Source organism: Homo sapiens, chromosome 7 (genome assembly GCF_000001405.40).
Source record: "Homo sapiens chromosome 7, GRCh38.p14 Primary Assembly".
Lineage (NCBI taxonomy): Eukaryota > Metazoa > Chordata > Mammalia > Primates > Hominidae > Homo > Homo sapiens.
The window spans coordinates 144,585,608-144,600,828 of record NC_000007.14 but is presented as its reverse complement, the minus strand read 5'-3'; the positions used below and the strand labels follow the sequence as shown (position 1 = coordinate 144,600,828).

General features: G+C 35.6%; 1 protein-coding gene across 44 annotated transcripts in view; it reads left to right on the top strand.

Annotated features, from left to right (window-relative positions):
* TPK1 (thiamin pyrophosphokinase 1) overlaps window positions 1-15,221 on the top strand; it is a 384,497-nt gene that overhangs the window by 235,609 nt on the left and 133,667 nt on the right. For 36 of the 44 annotated variants that reach the window (NR_146936.2, XR_001744630.2, XM_005249970.2 and 33 more), the window contains one exon: window positions 9,260-9,406. The exons of the other annotated variants lie outside the window; for them this stretch is intronic. Coding sequence is in view for 34 of the 36 variants with exons in the window: in XM_005249970.2 (XP_005250027.1) it covers window positions 9,260-9,406 (147 nt within the window). In the remaining 2 variants the exon portion in view is untranslated. The remainder of the gene's footprint in view (window positions 1-9,259; window positions 9,407-15,221) is intronic. 44 annotated transcript variants of the gene reach the window in all.

Below are 15,221 nucleotides of genomic sequence, written 5' to 3'. Positions count from 1 at the left end.
TTATAATACCTAATGCAATGTCAATACTATGTAATAATTGTTATACTGTATTGATTAAGGAATAATGACAAGGAAAAAAATCTGCCCATGTTCAGTACGGACACAGTTTTTTTTCTGTATATTTTTGATCCATAGTTGGTTGAAACCAATGGATGCAGAACCCATGGATACAGAGGGCTGATTGTATTTCTAGAATGTAAATGTGGGGTGGGAGTTGAAGATGTGATTTATGAGACAGGACTGGAGGCAAATGGACTTCATCTTGTGGAGCCTGAAGAACCAATACCTAATTTTTTTTTTTTTTTTTTTTTGAGATGGAGTCTTGCTCTGTCGCCCAGGCTGGAGTACAGTGGTGCAATCTCGTCTCACTGCAACCTCCACCTCCCAGGTTCACACCATTCTCCTGCCTCAGCCTCACGAGTAGCTGGGACTACAGGCGCCCGCCACCACGCCCAGCTAAGTTTTTGTATTTTTAGTAGAGATGGGGTTTCACCATGTTAGCCAGGATGGTCTTGATCTCCTGACCTCATGATCTGCCCACCTCAGCCTCCTAAAGTGCTGGGATTACAGGCGTGAGCCACCATGCCCGGCACCAATACCTAATTTTAAGCAGAACATTGGCAAGCCAGATTTAATATTTGGAAAACTTACTGTCATAACCAATTGAAAGACTACTTGGTTATAGAGGCAACATTGTAGATAAGAATGCCAGTGGAATTATCCATGTGAGAATTATGATTTCTGAATTAAGGCTGTGGCAACAGTGATGAAATAAGAATTATTTGAGATAAATCTAGAATTTCCTTGGTTTTCTTATCTATGAATGGAAGCCTCAAAATTTTGCCACTGCAAGAGGCATTATTTCTATCTCACCCAAACATGCTTACATGAAACTGGACCTTACATTATAATGTAGCCTGCTTGAAATGTAAACAGGATCCCTGTAGTAGTGCTTCCATAGCCTGACAAGATGCAACAAGATATATCCTGTGTTTGTTCATATAACATACCTTGGTACTATAAAATACGAGTTCTTTACTTTCTCTGGTTTCTCATTGAGCTTCATATTAATCAGTAGAATTATTTTATAGGCTTACTAAAACATGTTTTAGTATTGCCTTTTTTTTTTTTTGGTCAGATTATTTGTTCTTGCTCTATCTTGATCCCACTCATTCCTCCAAACGCTGTATTGGCTCTTCCATCTTCAAATTATGGAATCAAACAAACCAAGAATTTCATTATTCTATTGAAGCCTCACTAGAGTGCAGTACACATCTTTGAGAGTTAAAGGAAGCTTATTAAGCATAATCTAAATTTTTTATACCCTAGTGTTTAATTTTGTTAAGTTGCTATACTAATGTTAGTTGTAACTCTCAGACAGTAGGGTAAACATGTGCCTTGGTTTACATGGGATAGTCCCAGTTTATGCCTGTATTCTTGGTGTAATTTATTTATAATGCCCCATTTTTACTTTCAAAAGTATCTCAGTTTGTACATTAAATTGTATGATCACCCTATCAGGGAGAGCCACAAAGAAATTATCCATTTATGCATTTCTAGAATTCAATTTATGGGAAGTAAATGTAATTAAAACATGCTGACAGCCAGTGTGCCTGCTGTAGACTTCATGCATACTGTCTCTTAAGTCTTTTTGAGGACAAATGGAGTAAAACTTGTCACTTATTTACTAAAAGATTTTTACTGCTATAATAGAAAAATGAAATTACTTCTCTTTTGGTGCTATATGTCCCTCAACCAGTCTTGTCATGATTCTATTAAGGTAAATAATGCAAAGCTGAGTTTTGCATTTATTTTCTAAACAAAATACACACTATGACTATTTAACTTATGGTGGAAAACAGAGAACCTTATATGGACTTAAACGTGAAAAGAATCTTGAAAAATATGATAATGAATTTAGTGCATCCCCTTCCTTTACAGATGAGTGACCTAGATCACCAAGAGGTCATGTAACATATATGTGGTTCCATGGCTACTTAAGTGGCATACAGTGCTATAGCTAGACCTCCAATGTTTTAATCCAGGGTTTCAAGGTCCTTTTCGCTAGATGGGATTGCATATGAAAACCACAGGCCACCTTTATTCCCATCACACTCATCTTGTAAACAAAAAGGTCCATGTAAAATATCCTGACTTTAGGAAATATATGGAAAGCAGTCAGAAATTGATATTTTACATTTTATATATTTAAAATACGGCATAATAGGTATGTGCTGAGTAGCTTTATGTATGTATGCACGAATATTTTTTAAACTTTTAATTGACTATATGTTTATGGGGTACACAGTGATGTTTTGATACATGTATATACATTGCGGAATGATCAAATCAGGATAATTTGAGTATCCATCACTTTAAGTATTTATCATTTCTTTGTGGTGAGAACATTGAAAATCCTCACTTTTAGCTCTTTTGAAATATATAATACATTATTAACTGTCATCACTGTGCTGTGAAATAGAACACCAGACCTTATTTCTTCTAACTGTAACTTTGTACTCATTGACCAATGTCTTTTTTTCCCCCATACAACACCAGGCTCTGATAATTATCATTTTACTCTCTACTTCTATGAGTTTGACTTTTATAGATTCCACATATGAGATCAGACAGTATTTGTTTCTTTGTTTCTGGCTTATATAGGTTCATTCATGTCACAAATGATAGAATTTCCTAGTTTATTTTTAAAGGCTGAATTGTATTCCATTATTTATGTATACCACAGTTTTTAACCCATTAGGTGGATACTTGGGTTATTTCCATATCTTGACTATTGTGAATAATGCTGCAATGAATGCAGGAATGCAGGTATCTCATCAGCATACCGATTTCCATTCCACTGGGTATGTCCCAGTAGTGGGATTGCTGGATCATATCATGATTCTATTTTCAGTTTTTAGAGGAAATTCCATACATTTTTTTGAAAAATAGCTGTACTAATTTGTAAAACCACCAACAGTGTATGTATAAGGTTTCCCTTTTCCCCACATCTTCACCAACACTTATCTTTCAACTCTTTGATAATAGCCAATCTAAAAGTTGTGAGGTGATAATTCATTGTGGTTTTAATTTGCATTCATCTGATGTTTAAAGCATGTTGAGCATTTCTTCACATATCTGTTGGCCATTTCTATGTTTTCTTTTGAGAAATGTCTTCAAATCCTTTGCCTATATTTTAAAAGGGTTATTTGTTATCTTGTTACAGGGTAGTCTGAGTTTCTTGTATATTTTGAAAAGTAGCCCCTTATCTGATGTATGATTTGCAAGTATTTTCTCCCAGCTCATGGGTGCCTCCTTTATTAATTGTTTCTATTGCTGTGCAGATGCCTTTCAGTTTGAACCAATCCCATTTGTCTATTTTAGCCCTTGTAACTTGTGATTTTGGGGTCAGTATCTAAGAAGTTTCTACCCAAAACAATGTCGGTCATAGAGCGTTTTCTGCATGTTTTCTTCTTATGTTTTATGGTTTCTGCTCGTATGTGTAAATCCTTAATATATTTTGAGTTGATTCTTTCATAAGGGGTGAGGTAAGGACCCAAGCAACTCCTAGACTCAAGCGATCCTTCTGCCTTAGCTTTCCAAGTAGCTAGGACTACAGATGCGTGCCACCATGCAAAGCTAATTTTTTTTTACTTTTTATCTTTTATTTATTTATTTATTTATTTATTTATTTATTTATTTATTTGGTAGAGATGGGATCTTGCTATGTTACCTAGGCTGGTCTTGAACTCCTGGCCTCAAGCAGTCCTCTTGCTTTGGCCTCCGTAAGTTCTGGGATTACAAGCATGAACTACCATGCCTGGCCTCCAATTTCTTTCTTTCTTATGTAGATATCTAGTTTTCCCAACATCATTTATTGAAGAGACTACACTTTCTCCAATGTGTGTTCTTCACAATTTTGTTGCAAATCAATTGACCATAGATACGTGGGTTTATTTTGGAGCTCCCTATCCTATTGCATGGGTTGATGTATCTGTTTTTATGTCAGTATCATGCTGTTTTGATTACTATAGCATTGTAATATATTTTGAAATCTGGTAGTGTGATACCTCCAGCTTTATTCTTTTTATTGATTATTGCTTTGTCTATTTGGTGTCTTTTATGACTCCATATGAATTTTAGGAATGTTTTTTTCTATTTCTGTGAAGAACTACATTGGAATTTTTATAGGGATTACATTGAATCTGTAGCATTGTGAGTAATATGGATATTTTAACAGTATTAATTCTTCCAATTCAAGAACATGGGATATCTTTTATTTGTGTCATCTTTAATTTTTTGTTAATGTTTTATAGTTTTTAGTATTCAGATCTTTCACTTATAATTTGATTAAATATACTCCTAAACATGTTTTGATCCTATTATTAATGGGATTGTTTTCTTCACTTCTTTTTCAGACGGTTCGTTGTTACTATATAGAAACTACTGATTTTTTATTTTGCACCCTAGAACTTTACTGAATTTATCAGTTTAAACCATTTTTTGGTAGCTTCTTTAGGATTTTCTGTGTATATTAATAAGATCATGACATCAACAAACAGATACAATTTCACTTCATCCTTTCCTGTTTGGATGCTTTTTATTTCTTTCTCTTGCCTAATTGCTCTGGCTAAGACTTTCAGGACTATGTTGAAGTACTTAATATGATTTTTATCTTCTTAAATTTGTTAGACTTGTTCCATGACCTAACATATGATCTATTCTGGAGAATGTTCCGTGTGCACTTAAGAAGAGTGTGTCTTCTGTTGCTGTTGGATAGAATGTTCTGTATATGTCTTTTGGGTTCATTTGTGGTACTTTAAAGTATAGTTCAAGTCCAGTGTTTTCTTACTGATTTTCTGTCTGGATGACCTGTCTAATGTTTCTAATGTTTAAAGTGGGGTATTGAAATCTTCTACTAATATTGTGTTGAAGTCTTTGTCTCCTTTCAGATCTCTTAATGTTTACTTTATATATTTAGGTGCTCTAATGTTGGGTGGACATATATTTACAATTGTTATATCCTCTTGATGAATTGATCCCTTTGTCAGTATATAAGAATCTTCTTTGTCTATTTTTACTGTTTTCTGCCTAAAGTCTATTTTGTTTGTATTATGTACAGCTGCCCCTGCATTCTTTTTGCTTCCATTTTCATGGAATGTCTTTTTTATTCCTTCACCTTCAGCCTATGAGTATCCTTTAAAGTAAAGTAAGTCTTTAAAGGACACTCATAGACTGAAAATGAAGGAATAAAAAAGGCATTCCATGTTGAGTCTTTAAAACAATATATTCAACCACTCTATGCTTTTTGATTGGAAAAGTTAATCCATTTACATTTAAATAATTATTGATAAGTGCAGACTTACTAGTGCCATTTTGTTCATTGTTTTCTGTAGAGCAATTGTTTTTTAGATCTTCTGTTCTTTTTTTCCTCTTGTGTTCTTCCTTTGTGGTTTGATGGCTCCCTGGAGTAGTATGCTTTAGATTTTTTCTTCTTATCTTTTGTGTATCTCTTATAGGATTTTGCTTTGTGGTTACCCTGAGGCTTACGTAAAACATCTTATACTTAAAACTGGCTATTTTAAATTGATAACAGCTTAATTTTGATCACATAACGCATACTACACATTTACTCTTCTACTTCCCACATTTTATGTTTTTAATGTCTTGTTTTATGTTTTTTATAATATATAATCACTTGAAAAATTATTAAAGCTGTAGTTTTGTTTTTGGTAATTTTGCCTTTTATCCTTTATACTAGAGGTATAATTGTTTACCCAGCACTGTTTCGTTATTAGAGTGTATTGGATTTGACAATATACTTGCTTTTATACTTAAAGTTTTATACTTCCATATATTTTAATGTTACTAATTAGTATCCTCTTCTTCTGCTTGAAGAACTCCCTTTGGCATTTCTCATAAGACAAGTCTAGTGATGATAAGCTCTCTCAGTTTTTGTTTGTCTGAGTAAGTGTTTATTACCTCTTCATTTTCAAAAGACAAGATTGCTGGGAATAGTATTCTTGGTTGACAGAACAACCCCCATCCCCCTTCTGGATTTTGAATGTATCATTTAACTCCCTTCTGGCCTGCAATATTTCTGCTGAGAAATACACTGATGCTTTTGTGGAGATTCCTTTACATGTGACAATTCACTTTTTCCTTGCTGCTTTCAACACCCTAACTTTTGACATTTTGACAGTGATGTGTCTTGGTGTGGGTCTTTTTTGGATTTATCTTATTTGATATATCGTAGGCTTCTTGTATTTGCTTTCTATTTCCTTCCCCAGGCTGGGGATGTTTTCTGCCATTATTTCTTCAAATATATTTTCTGTTCTTTTCTCTTTCTCTTGTTCTTCTAGTACACCAATAATGTTTAAATTGTTATACTTGATGGTGTCCCATAAGTCTCTTAAGCTATCCTTACCTTTTTTCACTTGTCAGATATTGCTGAAGGATTAAGTAATAAAAGGACTGGGAATTGACCACTGAGTTTTGCTGTGTAGATGCCATGAATAATCATGTTTGATGGAGTAATAAGGGGTAGCAAACTTATCTCTTATCTGTATTACTATAATGATCTCTTTATATCTCCTGACTTTCCTTCTTGCCTTTCCACAGTTTATTCTCAACACACTCAGCATGCTGACTTTTTAAAATATATAGATCATATCTATATATTTTAAATATCTATATATTTTAAATATCTATATATTTTTCACCTTTTTCACATTCTAACTTATATATTCATTTAAAAAAACCTTTTTATCAAGTGTATATTATCCTTCATTTGAATATTAACTCCATGAAGGCAGGGGCTTATGTATTTTTGCCGATATATCCTAAGTGTTTAGGATATTTCCTAGCACATGGTAAATGATCAACAAACACTGGTTGAATTTTTCTTGTCATTAGCTTGTAACTAAAGCTTTTAAAAGCATCAGATGTATATCTGAGCTAATAAGTATGATGTGTTTGCTTTTTTTCAAAAGCTACTACCTGTTGGAATCATTTCCAAGTAAGAAAGTACTATTTTGTAGGAGTTAGGTGATGTTAACTCAGCTGAATAATTAGCTTCTTGCCTCTCTGGTTATTTATTCAGTTTTTCCTGAGTATTTATATGCTCAAGGGAAGCTCAGTAAATACCTGTTGTCTACTCTGTTGCAAACACTGTGCTAGCGGCTGTGATTCATAGGCCTCCTCTAGAAGGAGAGATTCACAAGTATGTCAATGTTTATAACCAAGTATGACTGGGTGATGTTAGAAATAAATGCACCAGGGTTTGGGTTCATGTAGAAAAGACACACTTGCAGTCTATAAATGGTCTATTTTAGATTGAACACTCTGTCCTCTTTCCGATATCTCTGTGAATTTCAAATGTCCTACTTACAGCCAGAACTAAAGAACTGCAAAAATGATCCAAAGCCAATTCCTTTTCTGTCCCACCTGCAGCTTGCATTGATCCTCTAGTGTTTTTAATCAATCTTGCTAAATACTTCCTGTAGGGAAAATGAGTAGTGATGAGAAGTAATCTTGCTGCTACTTTCTTCTGAAAAATTTAATGATTGATTTACAGATATTGCCTGTTCATCATGATATCCCATTGTAGAAGATGGGGATTAAATTTCAGTCTTAAAGGTTATGGGATCCCTCAAGGCTTAGCGTATAGTAATGAAAAATTGAGAACCTAGAAAGGGGATTTCGGATTCTGTATAGTGAATAAACTTTTATCAGGCCTTGCTTCTGATATGAATTTAGGATTATGTGGATAGGCATATGCCATGAGCTTTTTACTGCAGCCTTAGAACTTTCTCTATATTTTATATACAATTTCTTATTTATGTATTTCTCTTCAGTTTAAAGCAAATGCTGTAGTTTTTCTGAAGTCATAAATAATCTCTGGGCCTTTCCCAACTGGTCTGTAGAGGCCCTTTTAATAAGGCCTCCTAAACATAAATAGAAATCAGTTACCTAACTTGATATCACAAACAGAAGCCATCCCTTTGATAAGTCTTTGTCTAATGGCTTACAAGTTAACTCTTTCCTCTGAATATTAACAGATGTCCTGGAAATTGCCTGTGTATTTGGAGTAATACATACTCCCTAGAGTACATGGTCTTTCTGAGCCACAAAACCTAATTCTTCGAATTCTAAAAAGATGTCCAAGGAGAATAATAGATCCTTTAGATGTATGGTTTGCCTGGTTTCTGTTTCTTTTTTTCTTTTTTGTGAGACGGAGTCTCACTCTGTCGCCCAGGCTGGAGTGCAGTGGCGCAATCTCGGCTAACCGCAACCTCTGCCTCCTGGGTTCAAGTGATTCTCCTGCCTCAGCCTCCCCAGTAGCTGGGACTACAGGTGCGCACCACCACGTGGGCCCAGCTAATTTTTGTATTTTTAGTAGAGACAGGGTTTCATCTTGTTGGCCAGGATGATCTCGATGTCTTGACCTCGTGATCCGCCCACCTCGGCCTCCCAAAGTGCTGGGATTACAGGCGTGAGCCACCGTGCCCGGCCTGCCTGGTTTCTTTGATTTTTAATTTTTGATGTTCCTGGGTACATACTAGATGTATATATTTCTGGGGAACATACAGATATTTTAGTACAGGCATGCAGTGTGTAATAATCACATCATGGAAACTGGGGTATCCAGCCCCTGAAGCATTTATCCTTTGTGTTACAAACAATCCAGTTATAATCTTTTAGCTATTGGTTTGCCTGTCTTAAAATATTTTAAGCTTAATGTGAAGCATGTTACCCTTAGTAAAAATTCCCATTCTTCTTACATTCTGATAAGGTCACAGATAGGAAACTCATTTCAGAACTTGGTTCTTCTCTATAATTTACTTTTAGTGCTGTTATGGAACCCCATTTTGAAGTATACATTCCCACAGTATGGCAATTAATCTATTTCTTCTTTAGGCTAATGAGTCTTTTCTTGCAATGTCTTCATTTATTCATTCGTCAAACTCTTGAACTTCTTGTATGTAAAGCACTTTGCAAAATCACTGGTATAACCATTGAACCAGAGAAACACAACATTTGGCTTCATGACCTGATACCACCTATTTCTCTAGGAATTGAATAGGTTCTGTTGGTGCTTGGTTAACAGGTTATTATTCTAAAGTCATGCCATCTTTATGGATCACACATTAAGCCTTTTTAATGTATTATTTTAAAACTTAAACACCAATATTCTGTATTTTTACTTATTTTTTGTATGTGACTCTATGTGACTCCCAGTTTTACCTTCCTTGCTTAGGTTGATGTGATCGTGACACTGGGAGGCCTTGCTGGGCGTTTTGACCAGATTATGGCATCTGTGAATACCTTGTTCCAAGCGACTCACATCACTCCTTTTCCAATTATAATAATCCAAGAGGAATCGCTGATCTACCTGCTCCAACCAGTGAGTCAAAAGTGAATATAATGTGAGCCCTTTCCTTCACAAAGCTTCTACCACTTGAGTAGACTAGAAGAAAACATTGGCCCTGCTTGGGTCTTCGAACTGTGAGTGGAATTGAACATGTGCGCTTTCTTGTGGCCACTTTAGTTTTGCCCCAGGTCACTGACCAGCAAAAATGTGAAGGAGAATCCTGAAAGTTTTCATTTTATTGTGTCTAAAAAACAAGAGAAAGTGTTGTAACTCTAAATTGACTAAGAATTAAATTGAGCACTTTTGCGTTTTGAACAGCTGAATGTGAATGACATTTGAGAAAAACCTCAATAGGGGAAACACAAGGTTTGGCAAATGTTGCTAATGTAATTCTTACGTATTTTGAGTGTTGTCATTATCATTGGATATAACTGGAAACTGGGTTTGATTTCGTTAGGCACTTAGAAGACAGTCTTTAGCTTTTACTATTCATAAGTTGCCTGGTGATTAGTTTCTCTGTCTCAGAATAATTTCTAATGATGTCTTTCATTTCCAGTGATAAACATTAACGACATTTTCTCTCAATGTAGTGCATAGAACAGAATTCTTACTAAACAAACAAATTTTATGAGGTTTATTGGTGGATTTCAGTTTTAAAATATCATTTGGTAACCTTTTTTTTAAAAGATAGTGGACAGTACTTTCCATTTTTGCCTCTCATTGTGGTCTACTACTTATATTTTGCTGCTACCCTGTTGCTACCCACCATCTGTAGCCTGGCATTACTAGAAATTGTAGTTTGGTTAATAGGGTGGGTTTAGTGCATGCTCACTATTCTTTAGCCAGTTTTGCATTTTTTTCCTGGATCTTTGCGTGTCCTAGCCATGTTGCTTTCTGGATAAATATGGAAGGGGAGAAGAAGAATTCAGATTTCAAACTATACTATCCATGTATTTTGTCAACCGTTACAGACTGCCTTCTACGTATTTGTTGCACTGCCTAGCAATTAAGGATAAAAATAAATAGTTGCATGTGATCTTTGCTCTCCAGATTAAGTGCAATGAAAGATCCATTTATACAAATGTAATCACAATGCAATGTTGAAAGATTAGTACCAAAAAATGAAATAATAGAAAACTGGAGCATGTGTGTAGTAAGAAAAGTCTTCACAGAGGCACTCACATTGTATTCACTCAATTAATTCAACAAACGTTTACTGAGTACCTGCTATTTGCCAGGCTCCTTTCTAGGGATAGAGCAGTTAACAATACAAACAGAAATCCTTTCATGCAATGTACCTTCTACTAAGCTTACAATTCAACAGAATCTTCAAGGATGAGTAGATTCTTGCTGTGGAAGATGATGGGAAAGTTATTTAATGCAAGAAGAGCCAGGGAAGAAACATGGAGATGCAGGATGTGTTATAGGATTTGCAGGTAATTCTGTGCAGCTAAAATATGGGCTGTGCAGCTACAATATGGGCTGTGGTATGGAAGAATGCCAGAAGATAAGATACAAAACTAATTGGGATACTGATTGTGAAGAGCTTTAAATTCCACACAATGGAATGTGAACTTCTTTTTGCCATAGGTTTTGGAAAGTCATTAAAAGATTTTGGTTAGCAGTACAGATATGCTTTTTAGATTTCTTATCAATTTATATGTTTGTTAAATACCCATAGACTCCCAACAGCTTCTGAAGTTTGAAACTTACTACTATTGTGAAGCAATGAGCTTTGTTCTATTGCACTGAATTGATGGTATGACTGCTAAAGTATTCAGTCATAACTTGTCTCTGTATAGATGCTCTGGTCAATATATTACTAGTTAAAGATGCAGTACAATACTTTTTAAAATTATAATTGGCAGATTCACTGATAGAAAAAGCCACATCTAAAATATGAATTCTACATTAAGGTATTTTTACTGTTTTGGGTTTCTGTGTTTTCCCTATAATTGGTATAATTATGAGCTTTCTGAAATGCATTTGGCTTGGGATTCATTGGATTTTCTTCCATCTATAGATTGTTGTCTGTCATCATTTCTGGAAAACTCTCAATCATTATGTTTTCAAATATTGCCCTATTCTTTTTCTCTTTTCTTCTGTACCTCCAATTAAATGTATTTAAGATCCTCTACTTGTATCATATATATCTCAGCACTTTCATATTTTCTATGTCTTAATCTCTCTGGGCTTCATTCTGAAGTTCTTCACCACCTCTGTGTTCTGTTCACTGTCCCGCTTCAGCTCTACCTATCTGCCGCTAGACCCACCCTCTGCGTTTTTAATTCCTGCCATGATTATTCTTTCTTACACGCTTGCCCTTTACTCACATTTTCAAGGGGCTCTTTCTTAAAACATAATTATCAAACTGGTTTTATAGTCTAGAATAATTCTAATGTAAGCCAGCTGCCTTTTGTGTTCACTTTTGCTTTCACATTTCGTGACCTCAATTCCTTCTCTGTTTTATGATTTTTGGCAGGACCTCACATTTCTGAGAACTTTAAGTGTGGGAATTATTTGAGGTGTGGGTTAAAAGTAAATCCAAGGAGAATTTACATTTGCTTTTGCCTGGCTGCTGAGTGGACTTGTAGCCCAGTTCTGTGGGAGCACTAAGTACTTAGGACATTTTGTCTGAGACTATTTTGGACCACGTTGTCAGTGTAGACTCTGAATGTAACACTGCTGAGAATCTGATGTCTGGTTACAAATGCTCAGGGGAGACTTTTCTCATCTTCTCAGTTATGGAGTGCCAAAGTTTGGTTGGCCACTTTTCCTAGCAGACCAGTGGGAGTGTTGTTCATATTCATCTTGATATTTTGGATCTCTGCTTTACGTGGTACAGCATCCTTTTAGACGTCAACCTTGGGCAGGCCTTGGGCTTTGTCTTCTGACAACCTTCCCTAGTTGGGGGCTTTAGAAACTGAAGCTCAGGTTCATCTGATTTGCTAAACACTCTCCAGATGAAAGTTAGCCTTGGCCTTCTTTTTATATCAAAATGTAGTTTTTGGCTTCTGGGCAAAATTCTTATTTCTTTCCTTTTCTTTCTTTTTTTTTTTTTTTTTTTTGGAGACAGAGTCTCCCTCTGTTGCCCAGGCTGGAGTGCAGTGGCGTGATCTAGGCTTACTGCAGCCTCTGCCTCCTAGAATTCTTTTTTTTTTAAAGATACATTTGATGCATTTTAGAAGATTCTCTTAATTTTTTTTTTTTAGTATTTGTATTGTTTTCAGTTGGCCAGGGCACTAATCTATCATATTGCCTCTGTACCTCAGTTACTTCCCACCCCCCCCTCCGTCTATGTTGCAGTGATGATCAACTCCAGATCTGAGAGGCTTTCCAAGATTAGGTTTATTAAGTTTTTTTTTCTTATTAATAGAATATCTGATGTGGCTTGAGAGGCATCCCACATTTTATATCTAAGCTAACTGGAACACATTGCTGAAGCAGGGAAACTGATTACTAGAATGTGGCACCATGTTTTTTACAGGCCAGGCCTGCCTATAACCTGTGTCACCTTCTGCAGGAATGAAGTTCTGCCGCCCCAGCCCAACTGCAAAGGCAGTCTAGGAAATGAAGCTTGTGGGCCCAGGAAGAGGAAACACTGACTTACAAAGCAATTCTTTCTCAAACTGCCAGACATGGATATCTTGAAAGAAATTCTGGAATCATGACCCTACATAACTTATAGGAATGTAACATACAATGTGTTAGGCTTTAGTTAGTTATTAAGGTGGAATCCCCAGTTCTCTAAAGTGGTAAACATGTTAAGGGTACCTGCATAGCCAAATCCCCAAATATAATGCAATGTAGATTCTCTCTGTGATAATTTTGATTTTGTGTCATTGGAATAACTACAAAATTACCTTATCCTAATGAAGTAATTATTACATAGTGTGGTGCAAAAAGAACATGCAAAATTACACTCTCTGTTCTTTAAGGGAGTGACAATGGCAGGCACAGGCTTCCACCTGTGGGGTTAGCAGTGCAGCCTTTGCTCGTCTTGGCCACTCTGTTCTAGGGAGTTCTTTATCGAGACACAGCCTGGCTCTCTGCTTTTCTATCACTTTTAGTAAGGGAATAGCAAGAAAATTAGTAACACAAATGCATATGTTGAAGTGAATATGTTTGGGGGTTTAAGGTATGGATGGATCTCATGTGATCCACCATATTGGTAACAAGTTTTAATTGTATACCCGTGAATGGGATTAATACTAAAAATCAGTTAAAAACTACTAGAGACCGGGTGTGGTGGCTCATGCCTATAATCCCAGCACTTTGGGAGGCCGACACGGGCCTGTCACCTGAGGTCAGGAGTTTGAGACCAGCCTGACCAACATAGTGAAACCCTGTCTCTACTAAAAATACAAAATTAGCCAGGCGTGGTGGTGCATGCCTGTAATCCCAGCTACTTGGAAGGCTGAAACAGGAGAATTGCTTGAACATGGGAGGTGGAGGTTGCAGTGAGCTGAGATTGCGCCACTGTGCTCTAACCTGGGCAACAAGAGCAAAACGTCGTCTCAAAAAACAAAAAAAAAACTACTATAAAATTACTGCACAGAAGCATTCTACATCCTAGAAATGAGACTTGCACCACTGGGGCTGAAATGGCTCTGTCAGGTGTTACTTCATATAACTGCATCATTAATATATGTGATACATGCACTAAATGTGCCTATACATTACATGGTGTGCATACTTTGGGGAAGGTATTCAGAATGGACATCTACAGCAGACTGTTCATTATTTTTAGAACATACAGTCACAGTCCGGATGGGCAGGAGAAATGTTATAAATTTAAACTGAAATCATTTAAAAATATTGCAAAAGTAGGCTTAAGAAAATGTCTCGTGTGCTTTAGCGCCAAATAAAGAATGACTTCAAAACTCTAAATTTTTAAATTTTTTTAAATTAAAGTTAACATATAGTTGTTGAGGAGGAAGATAATACTGATACTTTTACAAGAAGCATCTCATCTGAGCCTTATAACAATACTGGGAGAAAAGCAGGATAATATGGTCACACAGTGAAGTGTTTTGTCTCAACACTTTTTCCACAACATTACATTTCCTCCTTCATGGGGTTAATGGACTAAGATGCAAATAATAAACTCTTGAAACAAGTCACAGCCCATAGGCTGGTAATTGTCCATAAGCAGTGTGTAACTGATGGCCAGTTGGTGTATGCATGTGTATGTATAAATATATGTGTGTGTGTATATGTGTACATATATGTTTTTTCCACTATGATATTATTTTCAAGTAAAATAAATCTTGGATGCACTTTAAGGATCTACCTCATCTTGTTGCTGTATCCTTAAGGAAAAATGACTTTCTGAAGTTTTATAATAAAATTTACATCTAATAATAATCTTTCATCATTTAAGCAGACTAAGTGATTTACCATTAAGCTTTGCTAAAGTATGTTAAAAGTGGTAAAAATTCAATATAAATGTTAATTATTACGAGTGTTAGATTTGAGCCTAGAGTGTTCCAGAATTTTTTTTCAATTAGATGATCTGAAATTAAAGATAATAGTAGGAGGAATAAGTCATCTTACAGCAACTGTTTATCTGATCATTTTTTTAGTCTAGTAACTTGGTAAGAGAGCTTGTGTTATATCTGCTACACTAATTTTAATTGGCTAGAATAGTCCTAGTCCCTGGAACCAGAATGCACTTTTCTTGATCTTTTTAAAAAAGCCTATCCTCATATCATCTTAGTCTTTCTGTGATGTTCTGTGTTTCTTTTGGAGTGTTTACATATGAGACTCTCATGAGACTAGGTTGTGTAAATAAGTAATTATCTTCCATTCATTAAGATTATTTTAGTCATTTCGGACTGACCTATAT